This window comes from Homo sapiens, chromosome 8, assembly GCF_000001405.40.
Source record: "Homo sapiens chromosome 8, GRCh38.p14 Primary Assembly".
Taxonomy (NCBI): domain Eukaryota; kingdom Metazoa; phylum Chordata; class Mammalia; order Primates; family Hominidae; genus Homo; species Homo sapiens.
Genome location: NC_000008.11, coordinates 129,567,166 through 129,594,018, shown reverse-complemented (window position 1 = coordinate 129,594,018; position 26,853 = coordinate 129,567,166). Strand labels below are relative to the sequence as shown.

The 26,853-nt window shown below is 39.4% G+C and overlaps 1 long non-coding RNA gene across 4 annotated transcripts in view, besides 5 other annotated features; it reads left to right on the top strand.

Annotated features, from left to right (window-relative positions):
- CCDC26 (CCDC26 long non-coding RNA) overlaps positions 1 to 26,853 on the top strand; it is a 328,546-nt gene that overhangs the window by 86,221 nt on the left and 215,472 nt on the right. For 3 of the 4 annotated variants that reach the window (NR_130918.1, NR_130919.1, NR_130920.1), the window contains exon 1: positions 19,001 to 19,137. The exons of the other annotated variant lie outside the window; for it this stretch is intronic. This is a non-coding gene — a long non-coding RNA (CCDC26 long non-coding RNA). Of the gene's footprint in view, positions 1 to 19,000; positions 19,138 to 26,853 lie in introns of those variants that run through there. 4 annotated transcript variants of the gene reach the window in all.
- Positions 6,096 to 7,295: an enhancer, noted in NCBI's record as "BRD4-independent group 4 enhancer chr8:130598970-130600169 (GRCh37/hg19 assembly coordinates)". NCBI's record gives its function as "activates an origin of replication core promoter dependent on BRD2, P300/CBP, MED14 and CDK7 cofactors, and independent of BRD4, by STARR-seq in HCT116 cells {active_cell/tissue: HCT116}" and the evidence as "EXISTENCE:reporter gene assay evidence [ECO:0000049][PMID:35650434]".
- Positions 10,222 to 12,165: an enhancer, noted in NCBI's record as "fragment used in the MYC e5 reporter construct". NCBI's record gives its function as "activates a MYC promoter by reporter assays in K562 erythroleukemia cells {active_cell/tissue: K562}" and the evidence as "EXISTENCE:reporter gene assay evidence [ECO:0000049][PMID:27708057]".
- Positions 10,222 to 12,239: a biological region, named in NCBI's record as "CRISPRi-validated CCDC26 and MYC e5 enhancer". NCBI's record gives its function as "regulatory_interactions: CCDC26 | MYC".
- Positions 10,662 to 10,956: a silencer, noted in NCBI's record as "tiled region #4665; HepG2 Repressive non-DNase unmatched - State 24:Quies, and K562 Repressive DNase matched - State 5:Enh". NCBI's record gives its function as "represses a minimal TATA promoter and a strong SV40 promoter by Sharpr-MPRA in HepG2 and K562 cells {active_cell/tissue: HepG2 | K562}" and the evidence as "EXISTENCE:reporter gene assay evidence [ECO:0000049][PMID:27701403]".
- Positions 11,558 to 12,239: a transcriptional cis regulatory region, noted in NCBI's record as "e5 or genic|chr8:130594265-130594805-genic|chr8:130593705-130594205 region (GRCh37/hg19 assembly coordinates) targeted for CRISPR interference". NCBI's record gives its function as "positively regulates CCDC26 and MYC gene expression in K562 erythroleukemia cells {active_cell/tissue: K562}" and the evidence as "EXISTENCE:mutant phenotype evidence [ECO:0000015][PMID:31784727]".

Sequence of the window (26,853 nt, the reverse complement as noted above, 5' to 3'; positions counted from 1 at the left end):
ATGCAGGAATGGGTGGTGGAAACACTGATTCTGATGGGTTTCCTGCCTCCACCTCCTACCTTTAGGCGTGTGGGCCTGGAGAATGGGCCCAGTTCCAAGGGTCCCAGGGGAGGAGGGGAGGAGCTCCCTCTAGTGCTGCCCGGTCAAATCTAAGTTACGAAGGTGGAAAAGAAAGAATTATAATTTGATGGAAAGGTTGAGGTTAAAGGGAAATAAGTTTCTCGGGACACAGTGGAAATGTGCGAAAGTGAGAACATTGAGTGCGCAGAGGAGACAAATCATCTTATAGTGCAAACTGGTAGGGAGTGAAAGAACAGAAGCCCCGTGGCTGAGAGGGTGGGTGACTTAGGAGGCAAACACGTATGACAGACATGAAAGGCGGCTGGGATTCGCAGTTTGTCCTGAGGCTCCAACTGGCTTTCTGGGGTCGAGCTTTGGGCTGGGCATGGTAGAGATCTCTAGCAGGCAAGTCTACCCAGTGGGCTGGGCCCTGAGAGGGGAAGTGATGATGTTTAAGTCCTGTGTGGCTGGAGGGTCTTGACTGTGGGAGTCTAAGCCCCGGTGTGCCCTCTTTCCTAGAGTTCCAGATTGGGTAATAAGCTACTCAGAGCTTATAGCAGATCCTTGTTCCCTGGGACTTCATGGCCCAGTGCTTTAGGGGGCTGGGGCTTCGATTCCACTGTGACCCACATCCTTTCCTCTGAACAATTACAGACCCACATTGTCCAGGCTGTTTTATGGCTCCATGCACATGCTATTTGCTCACGCCAGAATGGGGCTTGGCTACCTGTCTGCCTGGAATTCATCTTTCAAACACAGCTCACTGCCATCCTCTCCAGGAGGCTCCTCTGATGGTCTCTGCCTGCAGCTCCCATCGCCCTCAGGGTGTCGCTCCCTTCTCTGCACAGCTACGCTTTGCAATACTCATGCTGTTGTATGGAACCACAGGGTCCTCTTCGTCTATGTCTTTTCCGCCTCTCTCACTAGATCCCAAGCTCACTGTGTCTCAGTCTCTATATCCCCAATACTCCAGACAGGAGATCTGCAAACAAACTGGAGTAAATCTTAAGGATTGTGTAAGCGAAGGAGCAATTCTGATCAGGGTGCTGGTTGGGGATATGGGTTGGCGGCATATGTAAGCTTCAAGCCCATCTTAGCCTTTCTTGGTAGAACCACCTTCTTTTTCCAAAACCAGTTGCTTAAAAACTCTGTCCAAAGTAAAAAAAAAAAAAAAAAAAATTACAGACTTGTTCCTCCCAAGGCCAGCTCTGCTCTGTCTGATTGCTAGGAAATTTCAATGTTTGAGTGGCACCCATGTCCCTACCCTCTACCCTGGCTAAACCAATTGCTTATTTATTTCTTTACATGTCCCTCCATCAGGGGACAGCAGTATCCCCTTCTTCACATCACTTTGCCTTCCTGGATCCTGTTTTTCTAGGCGTGAAAGCGCTGAAGTTTGGAGCAAGGCCTAAACTCTCTGTGAACCTCATGGCAAATCACATAGTTTCAGAAAACCCAGATGCAGTTTGAAATTACAGTTAAGATTCCGTGGAAAATAAATGACATGAGCAGCTGAAAACCCCACCCCCACCATCCTCCCCTCCCCTCCCCCTGTTTTTGATGTCCCCTCCCCGCCTCAGCCTCCCCACCCCACTGCCTCTTCAGAACAGAATTTGTTCACTGGGGACATGAAACCCGAGCCTTGCACAAGAGTCGGGTGTTGATTTGGTCCATCCAAGGACAGGCAGCTGCTCAAGGGGGCGGGGTGGGGGTGGGGGCACTGGCAGAGGTCTCTGGAAGTCCTCAGGAGAATTGCTGTTGGAGGGTCCTTGGGGGCTGCCCCCTCCCATTTTGCGCAATCTATCTTTAGAGAACTGCAAGTTAATTTCTCAGAAGGGCCTCAGAGCTGTGAAGACTTCTAAACGGACAAACCACTTCCTGCAATCTTTAACTGAATTGGGGCTGGGGGGGGTGTGACCATTGGAGGGGGGGTCCATTCAGACTTATCCACCCTTGTGTCTTTCCACAGCCCACCCCTGGCTCTGGGCCAAGAGAGATGGAGCAAAGAGTGGGCCCCTTAACACTAGCAGAGGTCACCAGACAGAAGTGTAGCCCTGCTCTCAGGGGCTGGTCAGTAAGGGGGCCTGGAAGGGGGTCAGGACCCTGTCCTGATGCCTCCATTTCAGCTTGGAGCCTCTTGCACTTAATCTCTTAAGAGGCAACCTGGGACAGTCACTTCCTGTCCCCATGTGCCTTCTCTAAAATGGGTAACAGTACGCTATTTCAGAAAGGAGCAGCTTGAAGTCATTCGGAAATGGCTTCAAGTCTTCTAGTGGTGTCAGCAGCAAATGGGTTACCAAAACATGAGGACCCCGAAAGGATTCTTCCAAGCAGCTTAGTGCAGTGCAGAAAGGTAGACTTTAACCACAAGCAGGCCTGGATTCAAATGTGGTCTCCACCACTTACTATCAAGTGCCAAGAGGACTTGTGGAGGTGTCAACTTCTCTGTACCTTAGTAAACTGCAATCAATAACAGGAACTACCCTGGAAAATTGTTATGATGTTTGCCTGAGATGATATCTATACAATACTCACTTTGGGGCTGGGGATATCAATATGTCCAATACATGCTACTTCTCAGTCCCTCAAAAAATAATAATAAAGGCTGTTTTGGAGAGTTTGCTAAGTGCCAGGTCTTAGCACTGGATGTGCCTTATCTCATTTGATCATTGTGATGGATGCTGTGAGGGTGGTAATTATTACTGGAGCTTTATGGAGTCTTGAGGTGGCAGTGGCAGCCTCTCAATGGGATTCTGGCTCTGGTAACAAAGTACTGTTCTTTCTCTCCCTCCCTCCTGTGCTTCTCCTCATCACACCTTTCTGGACACCTTTTCCTCAGGTACCTGGAGCAAATCTCTTGTAGCTCCAGAAATCCAACACCCCCCAACCTGGCCCACATTCTATACCTGCCAAGCTCTGAGTTCAGCCAGGTGACTGTGGCTGAGGGGCTAAGGCTGGGAGTAGAACTGCCATATTCTGAAAAAAATAAAAGTAGGACACCCGGTTAAATTCGAATTTCAGATAAATGACAAATATATTTTTAGTGTATGTCTATCCTAAGTATTGCATGGGACATATCTCTGCTATAAAATTATTTGTTTATTTGAAATTCAAATTCAACTGGGAAACCTTTACATAGTCAAAATTTATATTTTTATCTTTCACATATGCTAGCATTTTCCTACTTTGGCTTAATGAAACCTTGCAGTTGATAAGCATTCCACACTTCAATATGTGCCACTCATTTGAACCTCTAAGTATCGTTACTCCCATTTCACAGAGGAGAAACTTGAGGCTCAGAGGGCTCAAGGAACTTCCCCAAATAACTTAGTTGTTAAGAGGTGGAATAAGAATGAGAGTTGTGACTCCTAGTTATCTATGAGCCTATGAAGTCACAAAGATTCCAGACCAGTCTGAAATCTATAGCCAAGAGGAAAAGGAGAATCGAGGTTTTGAAAACATTACTGCAAATGGAAAAGGCAGCTGGGTGTTGTCTTGGAGGCCTGAACTGCATTTTTGAGCCAGACTTGGAAGTTCAGCATTCCATAGACCACCTTTGTCCCACATGGCAAGGTGGAAGCAGGCGCCGGTGGCCTTTATTGTGTAATGAAAGGCTGTCTCATCACATTGGTTATTTGATCACAAAGCTCCCTGATGTTTCACTTTGAGCCAGAACCTTGGGAATGCAGAAAATAGATCCAATTGCAAGTCTGACCTTTTCTATGTACCAAATGCTGATGGAGAAAGGAGCTAGAATTGCTCCTCAAAGACAATTCTCTATGCAATTCAAAGTAAAGGCTGTCAGCTGAGGTGTGGAAGGAGATACTGCCCAGAGAGCTTCCAGAGTTTCCAAAGACAGGTGCTGGCATCTATCTAATACCAAGGAGGCTGTTCACAGAATACAGTTGCTTTTGTTTTTATCTTATTCTCATGTTCCTTCACTTTTGGACACACACACACTCATACATTACAGATGCAAACATATATACAAACATTAACATTTGAAACACACATATCAAATTTGGAGAAATATATTTATGACATTATGAACATGAAACAATCATCACCCATGTGTTATGCACATAACTATTTAATAGTATTTGTAAATGAATCAAAAAATTGTTAGCTTACTCACTGATTGATTTATGGGTTGGTTTATTCAACAAATACATAATGAATACCTAATATTTACTAATTTCTTTGCCAGGTGCTGCAGGATGGGACCTAGGTATGAATGGAGTTCAAATAACCAATATTAAACCCAACATATTTGCAGAGAATGGTGGCATGGAAGAATTGAGACATTGCAGCCACATGTACCTGGGTTTTAAACTGGGCTCTGCCACTCACTAGCTATGTGTCCTTGGGAAATTCATTTAACCCTTTGAGTCTCAGTTTCCTCATCAGTCAACTGAAACTAATGATAACTATTTTATTAGTACTGTATGACAACCTTGTGACCAGTTGCATGTTAGCATTATACCCATTTTACAGATGACAATGTGGCTCTGAGAGGTTCGCTGTATTGCTCAAGGTCATACAACTAGTGAGTATGGCAGCCGAGTGTTGAACCTTGGTCTTCTAGTTCCAAGTGTAGTATTTTTTCCATTTCTTTCCAGCTCATTTTTAGCCCAAATAATTAATTAATTTATCCCTCCAAGCTATTCCGCAAAACATTTCTGCATTCCAGCATCATTATCTGTTATGAAAAGACCTCCTGGAGTCTCTTTATTCTAAACTTTCAAGACAACAACTGCCACAATAAAATTAACTTTAAGTGAGCACAGCCATTGAAGAACATTAAGTTTGTGCAAGCTTCCTTCCATGACTGCTAAGTACAATTTGATACAAAATGGTCTCTAGACTTCAGGGGGTGGAAGTGAAGGCACCCGCTCTCCTTCTACCGTGGAGTCCAGCTCCTGGAGGATTCCAGTTTGATCTTTCAGGTTTTTCTGTTTCTCTCAGCAATTCACCCCCAACAAAACCATAATCTCTTGACATTCTGGAAAAGGAACATCGATTTTAGCCATCATCAGCTAGGCACAGGTAATTCAGACAGCTGGATTGCTGTACTGAATGTATCTTACATGTACCCAGAAGATAGATAAAGCAGCTAAAACTCACCAAGTTTGCTTGCCTGGTTAGCCATAAAAACAATTCTCTTTCCCACTAATGGAGAAGTCTGTCTTTGGGAAGAACCACACATTTATGAATGTGCTTCTATATTAGTTTCCATCAGCCCTTGAATCAATGCATGGTGCATTGATACACATATAGGACTATTAAATCTTTGGATTAGAAGGGACTTCATTGTCATTTTCTGGTGCAATGCTCTGACTATTTAGGTCTATCTTCCTAAAATTCTATCAACTGTTTGAATTGCAAAGGGCTCTATTTTGGTACCTTTTAACAGTGGCTGGTCCGGGAAAAACAGAAACTGTCTCCATGCCCCAGCTGAAATTTGAAGTGTCCAGTAGAAAGGGCCTGAATTTTAAGAAAAAAATTAATGTTTAGTTGCATTTCTAATATGTAAATACCTTCTTATAAGGTGATATCGTAAAATATCACAGGTAAGGCCAAAGTCTCCTTTAGGAGGTTTTCTCCAAACCCCTGAAGTTTTCTCAGAGGAAACCCATGTTAACATTTTGGTGCACAGCTTTCTAAAGCTTTATCTACATCTTTATATACATGTTTGGGTACCTTGGTATGTATATGTTTTAACATAAATCAAATAATTTCATCTCTCATTATTATATCACTTGGACTTTTTCTTGAAATTATGTACAAATATACCTCTTTCTTTTAACTGATTATTAGTATTGATTAATGGAGATATATCATGGTTTATTTCACCATTCCTCTACTGATAAATTGTTGTCATCTCTTTTTTTCTCCTACTGTAAAAAGAATCTTGTATGTGGCTCCTTGTGCAAACAAATGTGTGTGTTTCTCAGGTGTGCAGACTGAGAGGTGGGATTACTATGCTTGCTTCTGCTTGTAAACTCCAGGGATAGGAAATTCACTTGTACCTGAAGAAGCACCTGTCCTCCCCTCCTCTTCCCTACCCCCATGGTCTGAGTGAGCTGAGAGCCTTGAACCCCGTAGTCCTGGATCGATGCTCTCTGTGGCACAAGTCTCGTCTGTTTTCTCTTCAGATTTGATAGTCATTTCCATTCTGGCAGCTCCTACTGAGGGCAGGTAGTGAAGAACAGTAGATTCATGAGAAACCAAGAAGATAGCGCTAGGTAGGTCAGATCTCAACAGGAAAGCTAATAAAGCCTGTATTGACTTATAATGACTGTAGATAGTCCCTCTGCCAGTTTTCCATTCCTCCCCAGCCCCTTCATCACTGAGGATGACCCAGAATTGCAGAATCTTGCCTATACTTTTCGGGGTGCAGGAGAATTTAAAGCCATTCTTTGCAGCCACTGAATTTTAAATACGGAGATGAGGCTTTCTGTGGGGAGTCTTCCTGACGTTGGGTAAGTAATTTACTATTGAGGCACCTGTTTCAAATCACCTGTTAGAGGGTGTGATGATATCTGCTCTACTTAGCTATTGAGGTTGTTGAAGAGATGAAATGAGATCATAAAGGTGAAATCTTAAGTGCAGGCTTAAGGGGCGACTATGGGATAGCATTTAAGATGTGTGCTCCAGAAGCAGAAGGGTTCATCTCAAACTCTCTTGAGGTGAAACTGTGTGAAGTTAGGGCAATTTGAGCTCTGGGCAGAAGGGAGCACTCTTGCACTGTCTCTAGATTGTCTTCACCAGTTGGGAGGAGGGGATGCATTTTTGTCTCTATTGTCCAGTATAGTCCTTGGGTCACTGTGGGGATGGTGAGTTACCTTTTATCCATTAGCTGGGACTGGCCATTTCATGATTCCTCAAAATGCAAAGCATCCTGGCCCAGCTGACTTTGCCAGTGTTTTTTTCCAGGGCGGATAGGAGCTGAACACCGTGGCTCAAGTGGCAAATGAAGAGTCCAGCACAACAAACAGCCATCATATGGTGCAAATAGCAGGAGAGACCCCATTGCCACCTGATTTCTGCATGATCTATTTGTGGTGGCATGAGGCACTACAGGAGAGGTACCCTGCTGCCTTCCAGCAGTAATGGAAGAGATTATGTGGACTATGTGTTCTAGGAAATAAACTTTTAAGACTCCAGCTGGCTCGGCAATAATATAGGTGGTTCTAACGACACTGCTTAGTTATGGGAAACCATCACTGAAGAAATGGGCCCATTTAGTATCATCTCCCATCTTGTCATGAATATCAGAAGCCTGGAAGACAGGGATAAAAAAATGGGTGAAACATGTTTGGCATCTGGAGTTTCTGGAAAGTGCAGCCAAACCTCTTCGCTATGCTTTGTGTTGGTTCTGGGCTGATTAAAGTTATCCACATTGTACCTCTTTCTTGCTACTGCTTTTAACTTTTTATTTTGACAAAATTTCAGACTTTTTAAAACATTGGCAGAATAGTACAAGGAGTTTCCCTCGTGTTAATAATTTACCAACTTTACTTAATTTAATATATATGTACCATCTATTATATATGCCATATATTTTTATATGATACCATATATTTTCATATAATGCCATATTTTTTCCTGAATTATTTGAAATGTATAGACATAATGTTCTTTATCCCTAAAGACTTCGATGTGTACTTTCTGAAAATGCATTTTGTTACATAAGCACTATTGTTAATCATCAAAACTGGGAAATTAACATTAATACAAAACTATTACCTAATCTACAGACCTCAGTTGAATTTCACCAATTGTTCCAGTTTTATGCTATATGGTAAAAGAAAACACTGGATCACACATTGACTTTATTAGTGTCTCATCTTTTTAAATCTGGAACAGTTTTCTGTCTTTTATGACAATGACATTTTAGAAAAGTACTGGTGAGATTTTTGCAGAATGTTTCTTAATCTGAGATTCTCCAGTATCTCCTCATGGTTAGATTCAGGTCATACATTTTCAGCTGGAATATCATAGAAGTGATGTTATGTCCTTTTTCATTCATTATTATCAGGCTGCACATGATGTCAATTTCCCTCATTATTAGTGATGTTGACTTTATTTGGTGAAGATGGTGTCTGCCAGTTACAGTAAATGCTGCCGTAAAGGCGTTTTCCAACCTTTCCCTTTGTAATTAATAAGTATCTTAAGAGGTACTTTATTATGTGAAATTTCTGTTACTCCTCATACTTTAAGCTACTAGTTTTATCATCATTGATGATTCTTATCCTGAATTGATTACTATTTTGAAGTTTGCCAAATTGTTGTTTTCTATTTCCATCATCCTTTCCACGTTCGTTTGTTAGCTTTTTGCTGTAAGGAGATTTCCCTACTTCCACATTTATTTACTTAAAGGACCTCTCCACAATGGTTCAAATCCTTGAGCACACCTAATATGAGATCGCGATCAGGTGCTAACATTGTGCTTTGTCATTTATAAAGAATGTTAACATCCATTTTTCTCATTTGTTCTTCACAGCCAGACTATGTGGAAGTAAGTGGGGTTCTTCTGTTACAAATGAGGAATCTGAGGCCCAAGAAAGTCCCCTCAATCATCACTTATGTTACACTGTATAATCAGGATTTGACTTTGTGAGCTCCCTGAGAGCAGGGCAGGTATGTTAGTTACATTTAGATCTTCTAAACGCCCAACCCAGCAGGCGCTCAATACTGAAACAATGAATGGATGAATAAAAGAGTAGGAAAGCATTCTGATCTTCTAAATCATTTCCTTACCTTCTTGTTCATTCATGGAACTCTTCCCCTGTTATAGCAAAGCCTAATGATGGAAATTCCCCTGGGAAAGGCAGAAAACGATGCAATAAGAGCAAGAGCTTTGCTGCGGAGGGTGAGGAAGGGCAAATAACAGAATAGCCTGGATCTTTGCATGTCTGAGAGGGAGATGGTGGCATTTACCAAGTGGAAAGGGCACAGAGAGTGGCAGGTATGTCCAGGTCCTAAAGAGTGGTTGTTCTGGCTGGGCGTGGTGGTGGGCACCTGTAATCCCAGCTACTTGGGAGGCTGAAGCAGGAGAATCGCTTGAACCTGGGAGGCGGAGGTTGCAGTGAGCCGAGATCGTGCTGCTGCACTCCAGACAGTGAAATTCTGTCTCAAAGAAAAAAAAGAAAAAAAAAAAACGGGAGGCAGGGAGGGAGAGAGAGAGAGAGAGATTATTCTAACAATTCCAGTAAGGGAGAGTGGCAGTCAAACAATCCAGTGCTTAAGTGCCATTAACCAGGCTGGGCGGGAGGTTTTTGCCAGCTTCCAGTGGAACTCATCTGGAACCTGGTGTGGTGGTTTTATGATTTCCATCTGAACTCTTGAGAAGAAACTTAGGGCCCCTAACTCTGTTTGCTTTTTCAAGCCTTTAGCCCCCAGTGCACCTTACTGTGGGACACTGAGTGAACAAGAACAAAAGTTAAATTAAAAATAATTCTAAAACATAACCAAGAGCCTGGCCCCAGAGTATTATGGAGGCTTGGCCACCAGGTTATGTTAGGAGGAGGGACTGGCCTATGCAAATTTAATTCCTGTGAGGTTTTTATTTTTAGGTTCACACATTTCTGGGGGTGACTGATCTTTGACTCAAGATTCCATTATTTCACTTCATTTAGGCCTCAGTTTTCTACTTTTTGTATAAGAGGATATTAGGTCAAGTGAGGGCTTGACAACGTTAGAGCTATAATAAGTGAAATGGGCCAGAAATAAGTAATAGTGAGTGGCAGGAGTTGGGGTGATATGGTGACCACCTGCCCAGTCCATAGGGACAACTACTATTTAGCTCCAGCCATACTGGAATGCAGATGTGGTGTTGATAGATATTCATATTTTAAAAGAGAAGCAAGAAATACAATTCTGTGCATGCGAGATATCCTGATTTATTATAAATATTGGCAGCTACATAAATTTTTTTAATGCTGTGCAGTTTAAACAAAACACATCTGCCAATTGGATTTGAATCTGTGTTGAAAGGTTGAACAGGTTGACATGAAGACTGGCCAATCTCTAAATGACTGTTTTGCTCTAAAATTCAAAGGTCAATGATTCTGATCAGGCTGATTTCCATGCATTTCTGCTATGTAACCTCATCTTCTTGCTATGATTTGTTGGAATTTGGCAGTGGGAGGGACACCCGCCATGACGGTGTTTATCGTCTGGTTCAGCATGTCCTTTACCCCTTGGTTTTATGACTTCAGATCAACAAACTTCTCTCTACCAGAGGCTGGTGGCCCTGCTCAAAATGAGCTGATAGCTTTCAAAGAATTTGCCTAACTTACTGTATCACTGAAGTCATAACACACTTACTGTGTCATTATCTTTAAAAAGAGATTGCATTTCATAAAGCAGTATGGGTGGCCAGTGCAGGGAGCTAGAGCATGAGCTAATGGCACCAGGGTCCGGTGTAGGCAGTTAGCTCTGCTATATTTGGAGGGTGTAGATTGTACTCAGCTGGCAGTGTTTGGAATCTGTCTTTTTGGTCACAAAGAAGATTGAGGAAGGTAGTGACTTAAGGTAAAGCCATTCCTTCTGCAGGAAAAGAAATTCAAAATTGCTTTCACAGCTCTCAGTGGGTCACTTGAATGATTTAAATCATGTTGTTAAACACATAGGCTGTCACTCTTCTGGCCCACCCCCACCCCGGCCATGAGGATAGGTGGGTCTGTAGGTTATTTGACTTGACCCAGAAGCCTAAAGAGGCCTCCAGTACAGACAGCTGTTAATGATATCGGATGACCCTTTCTGTGTTTGCTCTCACCCCAGAAGGAGCACCAGGGTGAACGTGCTGGTTCTGTTACTCTTCTCAGAACGATAATAGCTGCCATTTTATTTACTCTAAAAGCACAGAGTCCTTAACAATCACTTGCAAAGTGCCACCTGATCTGACACCTGCCCCCCAGCCAATCACATACATCATCTTTTACTTTTTTCTTCCTTGCTCACTGTGCTCCTCCCACCCTGACAACAACTCTGGAAACACTCCTGCCTTAGGCCTTTGCTATTTCTTCATATAGTCATGTAGCTCACACCTTCATCTCTTTCAAGTCTTTGCTCAAATGTCATCTTTTCAAGGAGTCTTACCTTGTGCTCCGTTAAAAATTGCAATCCATGCCTTTGCCCTCCCAACCACCTATCCCTCTGTCCCTGCTCTACTTTTCTTGATTTCATTCATCAACTTCTAACCCACAATGTAAATTACTTATGTATTATGGTTTACTCTGTGTCCCTCCACTAGGATATGAGTGTACCAGGGTAGAGTTCATTTCCTTTACTGATGTATTTCAAATACATAGAAGAATGGACACTCAATAAAGGTTCATGGAATAAATTAATGCATCCTATTTTCCTCCCCTTACTTGTGCACTGGGGCATTGTGATGAAGGAGGCAGCAATACTAAAATACAACCAAGACATCCCTTCCCCGCTTCTTAGGGGTGGGCAGTTCTCAGGGCTGAGTCCATTCACCTTTTGATGGAAAACCACCGTAAAGGAAGGAGGTTATGTAACCCTGAAGCTTTTCCTAATCAGTTGTGCCCTGGAAGGGTGAGGCAACCTGACTTGTCAGAAGAGTGTCTCCTACCTACATTTCTCCAGCTTCCTGTTCTAGGAATGATTAGCCGCAGCAGTCAGAGAGAAACCAACGGAAAAACAAGTTTCCTCCAATCTCCCTCTGCACCTTGAGCATTGAGGTTTATGAAGATTACGGTAAAGCTTATCCAAGAGAACTGTGACCACTGCCATGCCACGGCTCCTTCCCCTGGCTGGTGGTGATGCAAGGGCCAAGGCTGAAAGGAGGGCACTGGGGTATCCGGAGTGGGGGACCTCAAAAAAAATGCATCTCGAAAAAATATGAGCTGTTCTGAAAGATCCAGCCTCGCAGCTTCCTGAAAATGAACCACATTTTGTTGGTTTCCCATCCACTAGCTCTCCTTCTCCTTTCCAACTCTCTTCCTCTACTCTCTGCAACCCCCACTAGAAAGAAATAATTGTCTCATTTCCAGAGAGGGTTCTGTTGTAAGGATGTAGGCTTGTGGGCCAGGATTTGAAGGCAGCCCATGTATTTGGAATCATGTCCCCACTGAGTTTCCATGTTCCACATCTGCCTGGGACATCAGACAGCTGTATTTAGGGCTGCCCATTGGGGTAGAGGCTGTGGCAGGATTTCAGATGGAAGGAAAACGGTGCTCATGTGTTGACTTAGGTGCTGACAATAGCTGATGCTTTCGTATGCTTGCTAGTTGGCTTAGGTGCAGAAGCAGAACCTGTTCAGGACTGAGCAATTTGTAAGCGAGGATTCACCAGTTAAAAAGCAGAAGAGATGATTTCCTGACTTTACTGTCTTCTTTTTATATTTAAATTTTCAGCTAGTTCTTGAGTTTAATCAGGAGAGGTGAATCTGCAGATCCCCAGCATGGAAAAGCAGTTCTGTAATCTCAAAATTTTCCATGTATTGATCTTAATTTCCTAAGATTTTTATTATTAGTTGCTGTCCTTTTATTTAATCTTAGCTTTTTAATAAAGAATGTTACTCCCCACATTGTAATCTTTTAAACATACGTGATATTTGAGATATTGAATTTGATTTATATTTCAGTAAGTTTAATATTAGTATTACTATTATAGTTACTATAAATATATAATATTAAATACAAGATATTTAATACTGGGTGGATACAGCACCATTCTTTTAAAAAAGTTAAAAAAATCTCCTTTCTCCTCTTTAATAGTCCAATAAAACCATATCAGGGGTTTACTTAGGGGAAGTGTCTTGAATAAGAATACTAAAAAGTGGGTTAAATATTAAATAGTCCCAGAGACTAAAGAGTAGATTTGGCAAGATGTTGGAATGCTACACAAATTTGTTTATAAGTAAACTTGTTATTGAATAAATTGTTTATGAAACAAAGTCACAAAAGTACACAAATCATGAAAGTACTGCCTGACGAATTTTCAAAAAGAAACACCCCAGTATCTACCACCTTGATCCTGAAACAGCAGTTACCAAAGCCCCAGATGATCCCCCATGCTTCTCTCCCGTCACTACATCTCCCAAAGGATGGAAACACCACCTTGACTTCTAGGTTTTGCTTGTTCTTGAACTTTATATAAGTGGAATCATAGAACATGTACTATTTTGTGTCTGGCTTCTTTTGCTCAACATTATGTTAGTAATATTAGCCTTGTGGTTGTGTGTAGCAATGATTTGTCCACCCTCCATACTGTAAATTATTTCATTACCTGAATATGCAACATCTTGTTTACTTAGTCTACTATTGAAGATATTTGTTTCCAATTTTTCACAATGATAATTAAGGACATTCTTCTTTATGCCCTTAGGACAATTATATACTCATTCCTATTTGGTATATTGTTTGGTATACAGTTTGGTATATATCTAAGAGTGGAAATCCTGTATCAGAGGGTACAGGTGTGTTCCATTTAGGGAGACACTGCCAATAGGTTTTCTAAAGTTGTATCAATATACAGTCCTGCTAGCAGGGCAGGAATGTTCTGATGGTTCCACATCCTCGTTAATGCTAGGTAGCCCTGGTGGTGTTTCAAATTTAGATGGTCTAGTGGGCATGTAGAGGTATCACACTGTAGTTTTAATTTACATTATCTTGCTCACTAATGAGTTTGAAGACTTTTTTTCTGTTGCCCACCCATTGGATATCTATTCTTGTGGAGTACTTGTGTAATATTGTACTCATTTTTTTCTATTGCTTATCTTCTTTTTTTAAATTATACTTTAAGTTCTGGAGTACAAGTGCAGAATGTGCAGGTTTGTTACATAGGTATACACGTGCCATGGTGGTTTGCTGCACCCATCAGCCTGTCATCTACAGTAGGTATTTCTCCTAATGCTATCCCTCCCCTAGTCCCCCACCCCACAACAGGCCCCCCAGTGTATGATGTTCCCCTCCCTGTGTCCATGTGTTCTCATTGTTTAACTCCCACTTATAAGTGAGAACATGTGGTGTTTGGTTTTCTGTTCCTATGTTAGTTTGCTGAGAATGATGGTTTCCAGCTTCATCCATGTCCCTGCAAAGGACATGAATTCATCCTTTTTTATGGCTGCATAGTATTCCATGGTATATATGTGCCACATTTTCTTTATCCAGTCTGTCATTGATGGGCATTTGGGTTGGTTCCAAGTCTTTGATATTGTGAATAGTGCTGTAGTCAACATACATGTACATGTGTCTTTATGGTAGAATGATTTATAATCCTTTAGGTATATATCCAGTAATGGGATTGCTGGGTCAAATAGTATTTATGGTTCTAGATCCTTGAGGAACCTCCACACTGTCTTCTACAATGATTGAACTAATTTACACTCCCACCAACAGTGTAAAACTTTCCTATTTCTCCACATCCTCTCCAGCATCTGTCGTTTCCTGACTTTTTAATGATCACCATTCTAACTGGTGTGAGATGGTATCTCATTGTGGTTTTGATTTGCATTTCTGTAATGACCAGTGATGATGAGTTTGTTTTCATATGTTTGTTGGCCACATAAATGTCTTCTTTTGAGAAGTGTCTGTTCACATCCTTCACCCACTTTTTGATGGGGTTGTTTTTTTTTTTTTTCTCGTAAATTTGTTTAAGTTCCTTATAGATTCTGGATATTAGCCTTCTGTCAGATTGATAGATTGCAAAAATTTTCTCCCATTCTGTAGGTTGCCTGTTCACTCTGATGATAGTTTCTTTTGCTGTGCAGAAGGTCTTTAGTTTAATTAGATCCCATTTGTCAATTTTGGCTTTTGTTGCCGTTGCTTTTGGTGTTTTAGTTATGAAGTCTTTGCCCATGCCTATGTCCTGACTGGTATCACCTAGGTTTTCTTCTAGGGTTTTTATGGTTTTAGATCTTGTGTTTAAGTCTTTAATCCATCTAGAGTTAATTTTTGTATAAGGTGTAAGGAAGGGGTCCAGTTTTAGTTTTTTGCATATGGCTAGCCAGTTTTTCTAACACCATTTATTAATAGGGAACCCTTTCCCCGTTGCTTGTTTTTGTCAGGTTGGTCAAAGATCAGATGGTTGTAGATGTCTGGCATAATTTCTGAGGCTTCTGTTCTGTTCCATTGGTCGATATATCTGTTTTGGTAGCAGTACCATGCTGTTTTGGTTACTGTAGCCTCGTAGTATAGTTTGAAGTCAGGTAGCATGATGCCTCCAGCTTTGTTCTTTTTGCTTAGGATTGTCTTGGCTATATGGGCTGTTTTTTTGGTTCCGTATGAAATTTAAAGTAGTTTTTTCTAATTCTGTGAAGAAAGTCAATGGTAGCTTGATGGGGATAGCATTGAATCTATAAATTACTTTGGGAAGTATGGCCATTTTCACAATATTGATTCTTCCTATCCATGAGCATGGAATGTTTTTCCATTTGTTTATGTCCTCTCTTATCTCCTTGAGCAGCGGTTTCTAGTTCTCCTTGAAGAGGTCCTTCACATCCCTTATAAATTGTAGTCCTAGATATTTTATTCTCTTTGTAGCAATTGTGAATTGGAGTTCAGTCATGATTTGGCTCTCTGTCTATTATTGCTTGTCTTCTTTTCTTTTTGCTGAGGTAGTTATTTATGTAATCTGAAGTTTGAACAGTCATCAGATACATGAATTGCAAACATCTTGCACACAGTGGCTCACCTTCATGCTCTTCATCGTTTCTTTTGATGCAAGTATTTTAAATTTTAATTTGTCATTCTTTTTCTATATGGTTAGTTTTTTGCAGGTATGTTCTGTTTCAGAAATTTTTGTCTACTCAAAATATGAAGATATTTTTCTAGGCTTTCTTGTAGAAGCTCTACTGTGTTTTGCTATTTTCATATAGATTTATGGTACATTGGGAATTTTGTGTGTATTATAAAATAAGGAGTCAAGATTTTCATGGCACCATTTACTAAAAAGACCATTCATTCTCTATTGAACTAGTCTTGCCTTTGTTATGCATTGAGTAACCACATATATGTCTGTTTCTGTATACTACTTTTAATTTTATTGGTTTGTTTATTTGTACACTGACTCAATTAACTGTAACTCTATACTCAATCTTGATCTCTGACAATGTAAGTCTTCTAAGTATTCTTTTTAATTGCTTTGGTTCTTCTCAGCCCTTTTTATGTTCTATAAATTTTAGAATCAGCTAATTAATGTTCACTAACAAATTAATTATAATTAAATCAGTGTATTCTCCTGGTCTTTAATATAACTTTACTTATTTTTCCATCAGTTTCAGACAGAGGTGTATTGAAATTTTCAAGTACGGTTGCAATTTTGTCCATTTCTTTTAATAGTTATATCAATTTTCAATTTATATATTCTGAAACTATGATACATAGTTTCTTTGGTATGATATATATAATATATATATTTTATATCATATATAGTTTATATATATTAGAAAATGCAGGCACATTTACGATGATCATATTTTCTTGGTAGATTAATTTTTTTATCATTATACAGTATCCTTGTTATCTCTAAAAGGGATTATTGCCTAAAAGAATACTTAGTTTAATAGTAGTATATCTACAACATCTATCCTCTAGTTATTCTCCATGGTGGATTTTTTTTCTCAATTCATTTCTGGATTTCAATACTTCTCCTCCTCTATGCTTCAATGTGGATATTTTCTACTGATATATCATTGGGTCACTAATCCTTTTATGAGCTGTATTGAATCTATTGTATTATTTGTTACAATGTTAGTTATAATTTGTTTTTAGTTCTGGGATCTTCATTTGATTCTTTCTCATAGGTTTCAGTTCTCTGATAATGTTCTGCATCCTGCAAGAATGTTCTGTAATGTCACCTGTGCTCTTGAACACCTTAACACAATTTTTAAAAGGTCCATGTCTATTAAATTCAATAAATGGATCATCTTTGTATTTATTCCTATTGCCAATTTCTTTTTTCCCCCCTCAGTACTGTTTCTTATTCTTCCTAGTAATTATTGAATGAATGCTGGCCATTTTGTACAATAAAATGCATAGGTTCCTATTGTGTATTGAGATTGGCTTCTCCTTTTGCCTGAACAGCTTGGCAAAGTTAATAATGGATTTGGGGATGTGGCATCATTGCAGGAAGATGACACCTCAATCAATACCGGAGATTACAGGGGTATATTTATGTTACTCCCACACATTTCACCTTTTGTCCATCTTCACTGCTTGCTTATCTGGATTGGACCTTAATTATATCTCAACTGGATTCCTGGCTGATATTTCTTACTTCCAACCTCTCCATTTATTGCAATTTTGCCATAGCCATTAGATTAAGATTGGCAAAATTCCCTTCTGGTTGCATCACTACTTCTGTTCAAAGCCTCCAATGACTTAATGCAGAGAACTAAGATCCCACAAAAAAAGAAACACCATATTTTCCTTCCGAATGAATCTTCATGTGTAACAGAGGAGAAATAAAGAAAAAAAATTAGAAGCTGGGCAAAGTCCTAACATCCAGCTTTATTTTTTCCATGCAATCATGAATGGAACTCCACCCTTGTATAATACTTTCTGATTAAATAATATGTTTTTATAATCAATATAAAAATTCATATCAGGAATTTTGAGGTAAAATTTCTTTTAAAATTTTATTATGATAAGCATTAATTTTTAATAATAAACATTTTCTATTAAAATATAGAAATACTTTATAATCTCCTCTGATTGTGCAGATCTTCTAGAATTTAGAATTGTTTCTTGTTAACATGTAATATTTCAATTTAAAAACCTCCCCTCCCCCAAATAAATGGCAGAGTCACACCACAGGAAGAAAATGTAATTCAAGGTAACTTTTTTCTTTTAATAAAAACATGCTCCTCTCTTCACCTTTGTGAGTATAAATTTGATATTATATGTAAATGTGCCTTGTAAACTCTACAGTGCTATAAAAATGAAAGCTATTTTACTTAATAATTAACATTAATGCTAATAAAATATTGCCCCCTATTAAAATGCAATTGCTCTTGGAAGACTGAGACATTAAACCAAGTATGCATGACTTGGTGAGAAATATTTCATCAGCAACTTTTCCATGCAATAAATAAAGTGGTGTGATGGAGTAAAGGAGAAAATGTGTGTGTGTGTGTGTGTGTATGTGTGTGACTGGGAGAAAAACAAAGACACAAAAGTCAGGCCCAAATGCTTCTTTGAGGCAGAATTGGATTAAAACCTGGGTGACAGAGTGATAGGTTATCATGACCTAATAAGCTTGTTTTGGTGACATTGCTAAGAAGTTATAACTCATTTCCTGCCTCTGTCACTTCAGTAATGTTCTTTGAGGGCTCCATTTCCTAGGCAATACCCTGAGAAGGTTGGAATAAGGGTCTCCAACTCTGATAGTCTACGATGCACTGGTTCAACAGTCCATGAGAAGGTAGAGGGTGGCAGTGTCTCATGTCTCCCTCAAGCTTTATTTGTCATAAATCCAACCGATGCCCCATATGAGAATTGGACCTTACAAGAGATAGAGATGACCTTAGGAATGAACTAGTCTTACATTCTCATTTTACAGAGGCGGGAATTAAGAGGCAAGGGGAGCAAGTGTCTGGCAATGAAGGCCACACAGTGAGCTGGTGGCAGAACCAGAATTGCAACTCCCTTCTCCTTGTTCTTCCTGCTGGTTTGTGGGTTACTTACTTATTGCCACAATCAGTGGGATTTTAGGTATAAAAATATTAATAAAGGTAGCAGAAATGGAAGCTTCTGGTGCAAAGAAGCCTCATCTTTATAATTAGTTTCCTCCCTTCTTTCCTTTCTTCTTGTCCTTATTCCCTTCTTTCCAACTGCCCTGTCTTCTGTGGTTTTCCTTCTTTTCTTGTGCACTTGAGATATTGCAAGTGATGAGCAAAACAGGTGTGGCCTCTTCCTTCACTGGGCTTAGAGTCACATAAGAGACAGAGCAAGTAAAATATTACGCTACAGTGCTACTGGCCCATAATCAGGCAACTGCAGAGTCTTAGGGGGTTATCTAATGTAGTCTTGGGGTGGCTGGATAGACTTCCCAAAGAAGGTGATGCCGAAGCTGAGGTCGGAAATTACGAAGATCAGCTATGTAAGTTAAAGGGTGAGGGGAAAGGGAGCCCAATGAGAGGGAGAGAGGGAAAAAACAGGGAGCGTGCACGTGCACGTGAGAGAGACAGAGACAGAGAGAGAGAATATATGAGAAAGTGAAGAAGAGAAAATGGGAGAGGGAGAGAAAACATACAATTATGTATGTCTGGAGCACACCATATTAAAGGAGGGAGTGGCAGAAAACGTGAGGTGGGAATCAAATCATGCTGGGCTTTTTGGCCAGGTAAGGAGTTTGGTTTATAGTCTAAAAGAAATGGTGAACCATGTACAACATATTGTTTTAGAGTATATGTGCATTGTGGAATGAGTTAATCTAGCTAATTAACACATGCATTGCCTCACATAGTTATCATTTTTGTGGTAAGAATACTTTATATCCACTCTGTTAGCATTCATTGTTCAAGAATACAATATATTGTTAACTACGGTCATCATGTTGTACAGTAGATCCCTTGAATTTATTCCTCCTATGTAACTGAACTTTTGTATTCTTTGACCAATATCTCCCTACCACCCCCATCAACCAACCCAGCCCACGGTAACCACCATTCTACTGTCGTCTACTTCCCTGTGATCATTTTTTTTCTTTTTAAGATGAGTGAGATCATGTAGTCTTTGTCTTCCTGTGTCTAGCTAATTTCACTTAATGTCCTCCAGGCTCATCCATGTTGTACATGGTAAAGACCTACAATTTCATGTCAAAAAAGGGATACTTTGCTACCAGCTTTAGAAAAGGTAGAGATAGTGAACCAGTGGTGAGTTTTAAGAAGAGACATTGCAGAGATACTTAAGGGAAATCAGAGTGATCCCAATGCAGAACTTTTGAGTTTTAATATTGGGATAAAATTTTCATTTTGGGGGGGGTCAAAGTTTAGTATTCCCTCCTTACTTCAAAAAATAAGAATGAAGAAGTCCTAGATAGGTTCTAAATTTCAAATGCAATAATGTACATAAAGCTCCTCGCTTAGTGCCTGTTATGTAAAAGACTGTCAATAAAAGTCATCTATGAGAATGAGTATGGTGAAACAACTTGGGCTGTTTTCACCTCCAAGCTCATTCTCTTGCCAACATGTGATATCTCACTTCTTACCCCTCAGGAATGCGGGGCCATTTAGTTTTTAGAGAATTCTTTCTTTTCTTTTTTGCTTGCCAATGTTTTAATTTTCACAGTTTTCTTCCTACTCCTTCCCTTTCCTTCATATGAATTCCAGGTAAACCCTGAGAGTTTCATACTCCAAATCTTCTGTGGAAGCTGACCTTCCTCTGGTAGATTACTTAGCTGTCCAGGAATACCTTGATTTAGGGATTAGACAAGGTAGTCACCAGACAGGCCTTTAGCATTATTTCCCCTGAAAGCCTGCACAGGGGTGAGCAGCCTGACTTGGAACATCTAGACGTGTTTTTGGTTCATCTAGCTTCTATAACTGCATTGGAAATTTCCACTAGAATTTTAGGAAAAAAAAAAACTGTGGAAAGAGAGGTTGATAGATGTTTGAGAGATGTTGAAGAGAAGTGATATTTCTGATGCAAATTTATATGGGTTTTAGTTATTTTCAGCTGTATTTGCTGCTCCCTATAGTATTTATTTACTTTGTGGTTTTTAATTGACTGATCATTGTGACCCTTTTTTTGGACTTGTGGCTACAGATTATTTTGAGTGTTGGTGGCTCTTTTGGAGAGGATTGCATTTGAAAGACAGACACAACACTCAAACCCTTAGGTCCTGAGTACAGCGGAGTGAAAGGTAGGAAGCAAGGAGAAGGGAAAGGAATGAATAGTTCTGTGTACTTATGATGGTGCAGATGTTGAAAAGTTTTACATATATTAGCTCATTTTATCATCACAATGATCTGAGAACATAGATGTCTTTCTCCATTCATTACAGATGAGAACACTGAGGCTCAGGTTAAGAGACAGTCTAAATTTACATAGATAGGAAGAAATAGAAATGCAATTTGACCTGATACCTGTTTAGAGTAGAAATCCATGTCGTTTCCAATTGTTAGTTTGGGAAAAGCCATTTGGACACTAGAGAAGATTTCTGTACCAAGTAGTGGGATTCAACTAATAATTATTTATATTTTTTTCATGGGGGAGGGAGTTAATATTCTATTGTCATTTTTTAATTCTCCCCATTGAATTTGACTAAAAAGTCTTTGGGACTTTCTGGGCCTCAGTTTTCTGGTTTTTTTTTTTCCTTTTTTTTTTTTTTGAGATGGAGTCTTGCTCTGTTGCCCAGGCTGGAGTGCAGTGACACAATCTCGGCTCACTGCAGCCTCTGCCTCCCAGGTTCAAGCAATTCTCCTGCCCCAGCCTCCCCAGTAGCTGGAATTACAGGCGCCTGCCAACACACCTGGCTAATTTTTGTATTTTTAGTAGAGACGGGGTCTCATCATGTTGACCAGGCTGGTCTCGAGCTCCTGACTTCAGGTGATCTGCCTGCCTCAGTCTCCCAAAGTGCTGAGATTACAGGCGTGAGCAACCGTGCCAGGCCTGGGCCTCAGTTTTCTGACCCATGAGAAGAAGTGACTAGATAAAGTCAGTGATTTCTAAACTGTGATATGTGGAATGGCAGGTCACCTTCCGAGACAGAGGGTACTGGAGAAATAGATGTGAACATGGAGACGTTAGGAGTGGGTGGGCTTACAGGTCACCACAGCAGCAAGAGTTTCTCTACTTTCATCTCCTTTATATTTTATTCTGAATAATTTTGAAGAAAAAATTTCATGGCTATTAAAAAAGTGTTCACCCTTTACCTTTGTTATGACCCACACTCAGGTCAACATATCTGAATTGACAAGCTTTAGATCTCAAAGCCCAGAACACTCTGAGAGGCTCAAACAATGCAAACACGTGACTGCCAATAGGCCCCTTTATGTGAACAGAGTGAAGCTGTGAGGAGGCAGAGAGGACAGGAGAGAATTAGGGAGTTGTTTACTGGCTGTTGGTCAATTTGCTGATAATCCATTGTCAAAAGGCAATTCACAAAAACACCAATTCCCTGAAAACCTTTTCAGTGAAAATAATTTTGCCAAAGAAATCAATTGTCTGAATTCCCTGAAAACTATAAAACAATTTTTAAGCCAGATCTAGGACAGTTTGCTACTACTATTTCCTAGCATTGGCAGATGAGTTTTGCTTAAGGCCTATGGCAAAGGCAGAGCATAAGTCTGCAAAAATAACAAAGTCAATAAAAGGAAAGTCTAATCTTTAGGATATAAAATGTTGAATATTTCAAGTGTTCAGAGTCAAATGTAAAACACAAGAGAAATCGACTTCAAATTAGCTGGATTAACAAATCCATATAGAAAGTGTGCAGAGACATTGCTTTTTTTACTTCTTGGTTATTATGAATAATACTGCTATGAACATTTATGTATATGAGTTTTTTGTTTTTGTAGACATATGCTTTCATTTCTTTTGGACAGAAATTTAAAAGTGGAATTGCTAGGTTACATGGTAAGTCAATCTCTACCTTTTAAGAAACTATCAAACTATTTTCCAACATGGTTGTACCATTTTACATTTTCACCAGCAATGAATGAGGGTTCCAAGTTTTTGACATCCTTGTCAACTCTTATTATCTGACTTTTAGATGTAACCATCCTCGTGAGTGTGAAGTGATGCCTTGCTGCTTTGATTCGCATTTCCTAATGACTTAATGTTGAGCATCTTTTCGTGTGCTTATTGATCATTTGGAAAAATGCCTATCCAAATTCTTTACTCATTTTAAAACTGGGTTCTAAGATATTTACTACTGAGTTGTAACACTTTTAAAAATATATTCTAGATACAAATCCCTTATCAGATAAACGATTTGGAAATACGTTCTTCCAAGCTGTGAGTTCTCTCTTGATGGTGTCTTTTGAAGCAACAAAAATATTAATTTTGATTGAGTCCAATTCATCAGTTTTTTTCTTTTATTGCTTGTTTTGTGTTGTATCTAAGAAATATGCCTAACCCCAAATCATGAAGACTTTTCTCTTGTGTTTTCTTCTAAGAGTTTTATAGTTTTGAGTACCTACATGTAGGCCTGTAGTCAATTTTGAGTATGTTTTTGTGTGTGGTATGAAGTAGGTGTCCTAATTAATCTTTTTGCATGTGAATATTCAACTGTTCCAGAATTATTTGGTGAAAAATAAACTTCTTTCCCATTTAGTTTTCTTGACACCCTTGTTGAAAATCTATTGTCTGTAAGGGTTTATCCATTGATCTATATGTCTATGCTTATACCAGTACCACATTGTCTTGATTAGTTTAGCTTTATAGGAAATATGCAAATTGAGAAGTGTAAGTCCTCTAATTTTGTTTTCATTTTTGAAAATTGGCTATTCTGGTTCCCTTGCATTTCCATGTGAATTTTAAGATTAGTTTGTCAATTTCTGCCAAAAGCCCAGCTGGGAATTGATAGGGATTTCATTGAATCTGTACATCTATTTGGGTAGAATCATCATCTCAACACTATTGAGTCTTCAATACATGGACATGGGGCATATTTTCATATATTTAGATATTCTTTCTTTTTGTTTTTGTTTTTTGTTTTGTTTTGTTTTGTTTTGAGACGGAGTCTCGCTCTGTCACCCAGGCTGGAGTGCAGTGGCGCGATCTCAGCTCACTGCAAGCTCCACCTCCCGGGTTCATGCCATTCTCCTGCCTCAGCCTCCTGAGTAGCTGGGACTACAGGCGCCCGCCACCACGCCCGGCTAATTTTTTGTATTTTTGGTAGAGATGGGGTTTCACCGTGTTAGCCAGGATGGTCTTGATCTCCTGACTTCGTGATCCTCCCGCCTCGGCCTCCCAAAGTGCTGCGATTACAGGCGTGAGCCACCGTGCCCAGCCGATATTCTTTCTTTCAAGAATGTTTTGTGATTTTAAGTGTGCAAGTCTTGTTCATCATCTGTTAAAATACTTTCCATTTTATTCTTTTGATGTCATTGTGAACTGAATTTTTTCTTAATTTCATTTTCAGATTGTTCATTGCTTGTACAAATACAGTCAATTTTTGTGAATTTATCTTCTATCATGTGACCTTGCTAAACTTGTTATTTCCAGTATTTTTAATGGATCCTTTGGATTTTCTACATACAAAATCCTGTCATCTTCTTCCTTGCTACTTGGGTGCCCATTATTTTATATGCTTGCCTGATTTCACTGGCTAGATCCTGTAGTACAATGTTGAATAGAAGTGCCAAAGCAGACGTCCTTGCTTTATTCTGAATCTTATGGGGGAAAGCATATAGTCTTTTTAGCATTAAGTGTGGTGTTAGCTGTAAATTTTTTGTAGATGCTCTTTATCATGATGAGAAATTTTCCTTCTATTCCAAGTTTTGAAATCATGAATGCACACTGGATTTTGTTGAATGTGTTTTCTGTGTCTATTGAGATGATTATGTATTTTTTTTTGATTTTTGTTGTCAAAACAATGTTGCATTCCTGTGATAAATCTCACTTGGCCAAGGTGTTTAATCCTTTTTACGTGGCTTGCTAAATATTTTGTTGAGAATTTCTTCATTGCTTCTTGGCTAATCTTTTTCCATTTAGTTATTTCCTCTCTGCTTTTAATAATATTCTCATGAGAAAGTAGCTAAAGATCAAAATAGTGAAGATTCACTGGAGTTGACCATGTTGGAAGGGAATTTTGTATATCAGGTAGAGGTGAAAGTGAGACTGGATCATCATTGTTCATAACCCACTTCTCTCAACCACCTTGGAATCCTGGATTTCTAGGCAGTATCCAAACAGCATATAAAGGCAGAATGGTTAAGAAATTATTTAGGTGACCTTTGCCAAAGATGAATAAAAAAGATTAAGCAAGAGGATTTTTCTTTTTCACAAACCTTTGTTTCTTTTTCTTCTTTAACATGACTTACTGCAGGCTAGATACTGTGCTAAGTGCTTTATATGTGTTATCCAGTGGTATACTTACCTTCATGTTGAAACATGTGGAGTTCAAATAACTTGTCCAAGATTACCCAATCTACAATAGCAAGGCAAAGATTCAATATTGCCTGATGCTAAATCATAAGCTCTTATCCATTTTTTCAAGGAGCTTCTTCTTCCCCTTCCCTTCTTTACTTCTTTCCTGTATCTTCTCTCTCTCCCTTATTCGATTCACATTTATTGAGCCTTTGCTATACTGGTAAAAATTAGTATTATTATTTAACATTTTTTAAGCACTTTTGATGGACTGGAAAATATGCTTTTTCATTAATGATTATTAGATTGTTTAATTCTTATAAGTATCTTTGAGGTATGTGCTTTCATTGGTCTCATTTCATAATTGGGAAAACTGATGTCAAGAGTTTACATAAACTTTCCCAAGGTCACAGAGCTAATAAATGATGGAATCTTAAGATCAGAACTGAATCCAAGTAATCCTTTAATGGTATATGCTATGGTTATGAAGAAAATATGACAAACGCACTAGACTTAAACTGGGGGCATGTTTTAAAATGCTATTAAAGAGAATGAAGAAAATAAACATAGTGTATAAAACCTGCTTGGAACAATTAACTTCTCTCGGAGAAGCAGTAGAAGGCTCACTGAGAATGATAGATATTCATGATGTTAAAATAAGAGCAGGAGTTAGCTGATATGTGGCAGTGGCAAGGAAAAGTCAAGCATTTCAGGTGAGAGGAACCTCACGGACAAAGACAAAGCAATGTGAAAATGGCCATCAACTTCAAAGACAGGTGAGAAGTTCAGAGAAAAGCAGTGCACAGTGGTATGGGGAAACAGTGAGCAAGGATGCCCTAGATGCTGGGGGCTGGAGCCAGGTTGGGAAGGGCCCAAGCCAAGGTTTCAGCACCAGGGCACCCTTTTGAGCACCGGAATGACACGATCAACCTTGATTTGCGGGATCATCCCAAGATGGTGGCCAGGAGATCAGGGTAGCGGGGTCTGACAACAGCAAGAAAGATAAGCAGGTGCAGGGTGAATCTAGTTTATTACTTTGACTACACCATGTGAATCTGGGGCAATGGATTCTTTCTATATCAGTGGGTATGATGAGATAAATTGTGTATAGGATTTAGAGGTAGGCCCAATTGTGTTCCATTCCTAACTCAGCTGGCTTCTTTGCGTGTCCCTGGGTTACTATGATTTCTCTCTGAAGGTGGCTTTCAGGAACAGGGATAAAAGTAGCTGGCTCTTAAGGAGATGATCAGTATAAGGCAGCTACATGGCATTATTGTCAAGCACTTTCCTATGAACCTGGATTAAAAATACATGAAATATGTTTGTGCCTGTGTGTGTGTGTTTTGTTTTGATTGCTTTATTGAGCTATAATTTCCTAACAAAATTTACTCATTGTAATTGTTCAATTTAATTATTTTAGTAAATTTGTAGAGTTCGTACTCTACATACTCATCATACTGTAGTCCAGGTTTAGAACATTCCCATCACCCCCAAAAGTTCCTTGTGCTCATTCGCCGTTAATTCCTGCTCCTACTCCCAGTCATAAGCAAATTTGGTTTCCTTTCTGTCTCTACAAATTTGCCTTTTATAGATGTTTCTTACAAATGAAATATATAGTCTTTCTAGAGATTTCATGTAAATAATATATGTAGTCTTCTGCATGTGGCTTAGCTTAATATTTTTGAGGCTCATCCATGTTGTAGTATGAATTGGTAGTTTGTTGCTTTTAATTGCTGAGTAGTGTTCCTATATATGGATATGCCACACTTTGCATATGTAC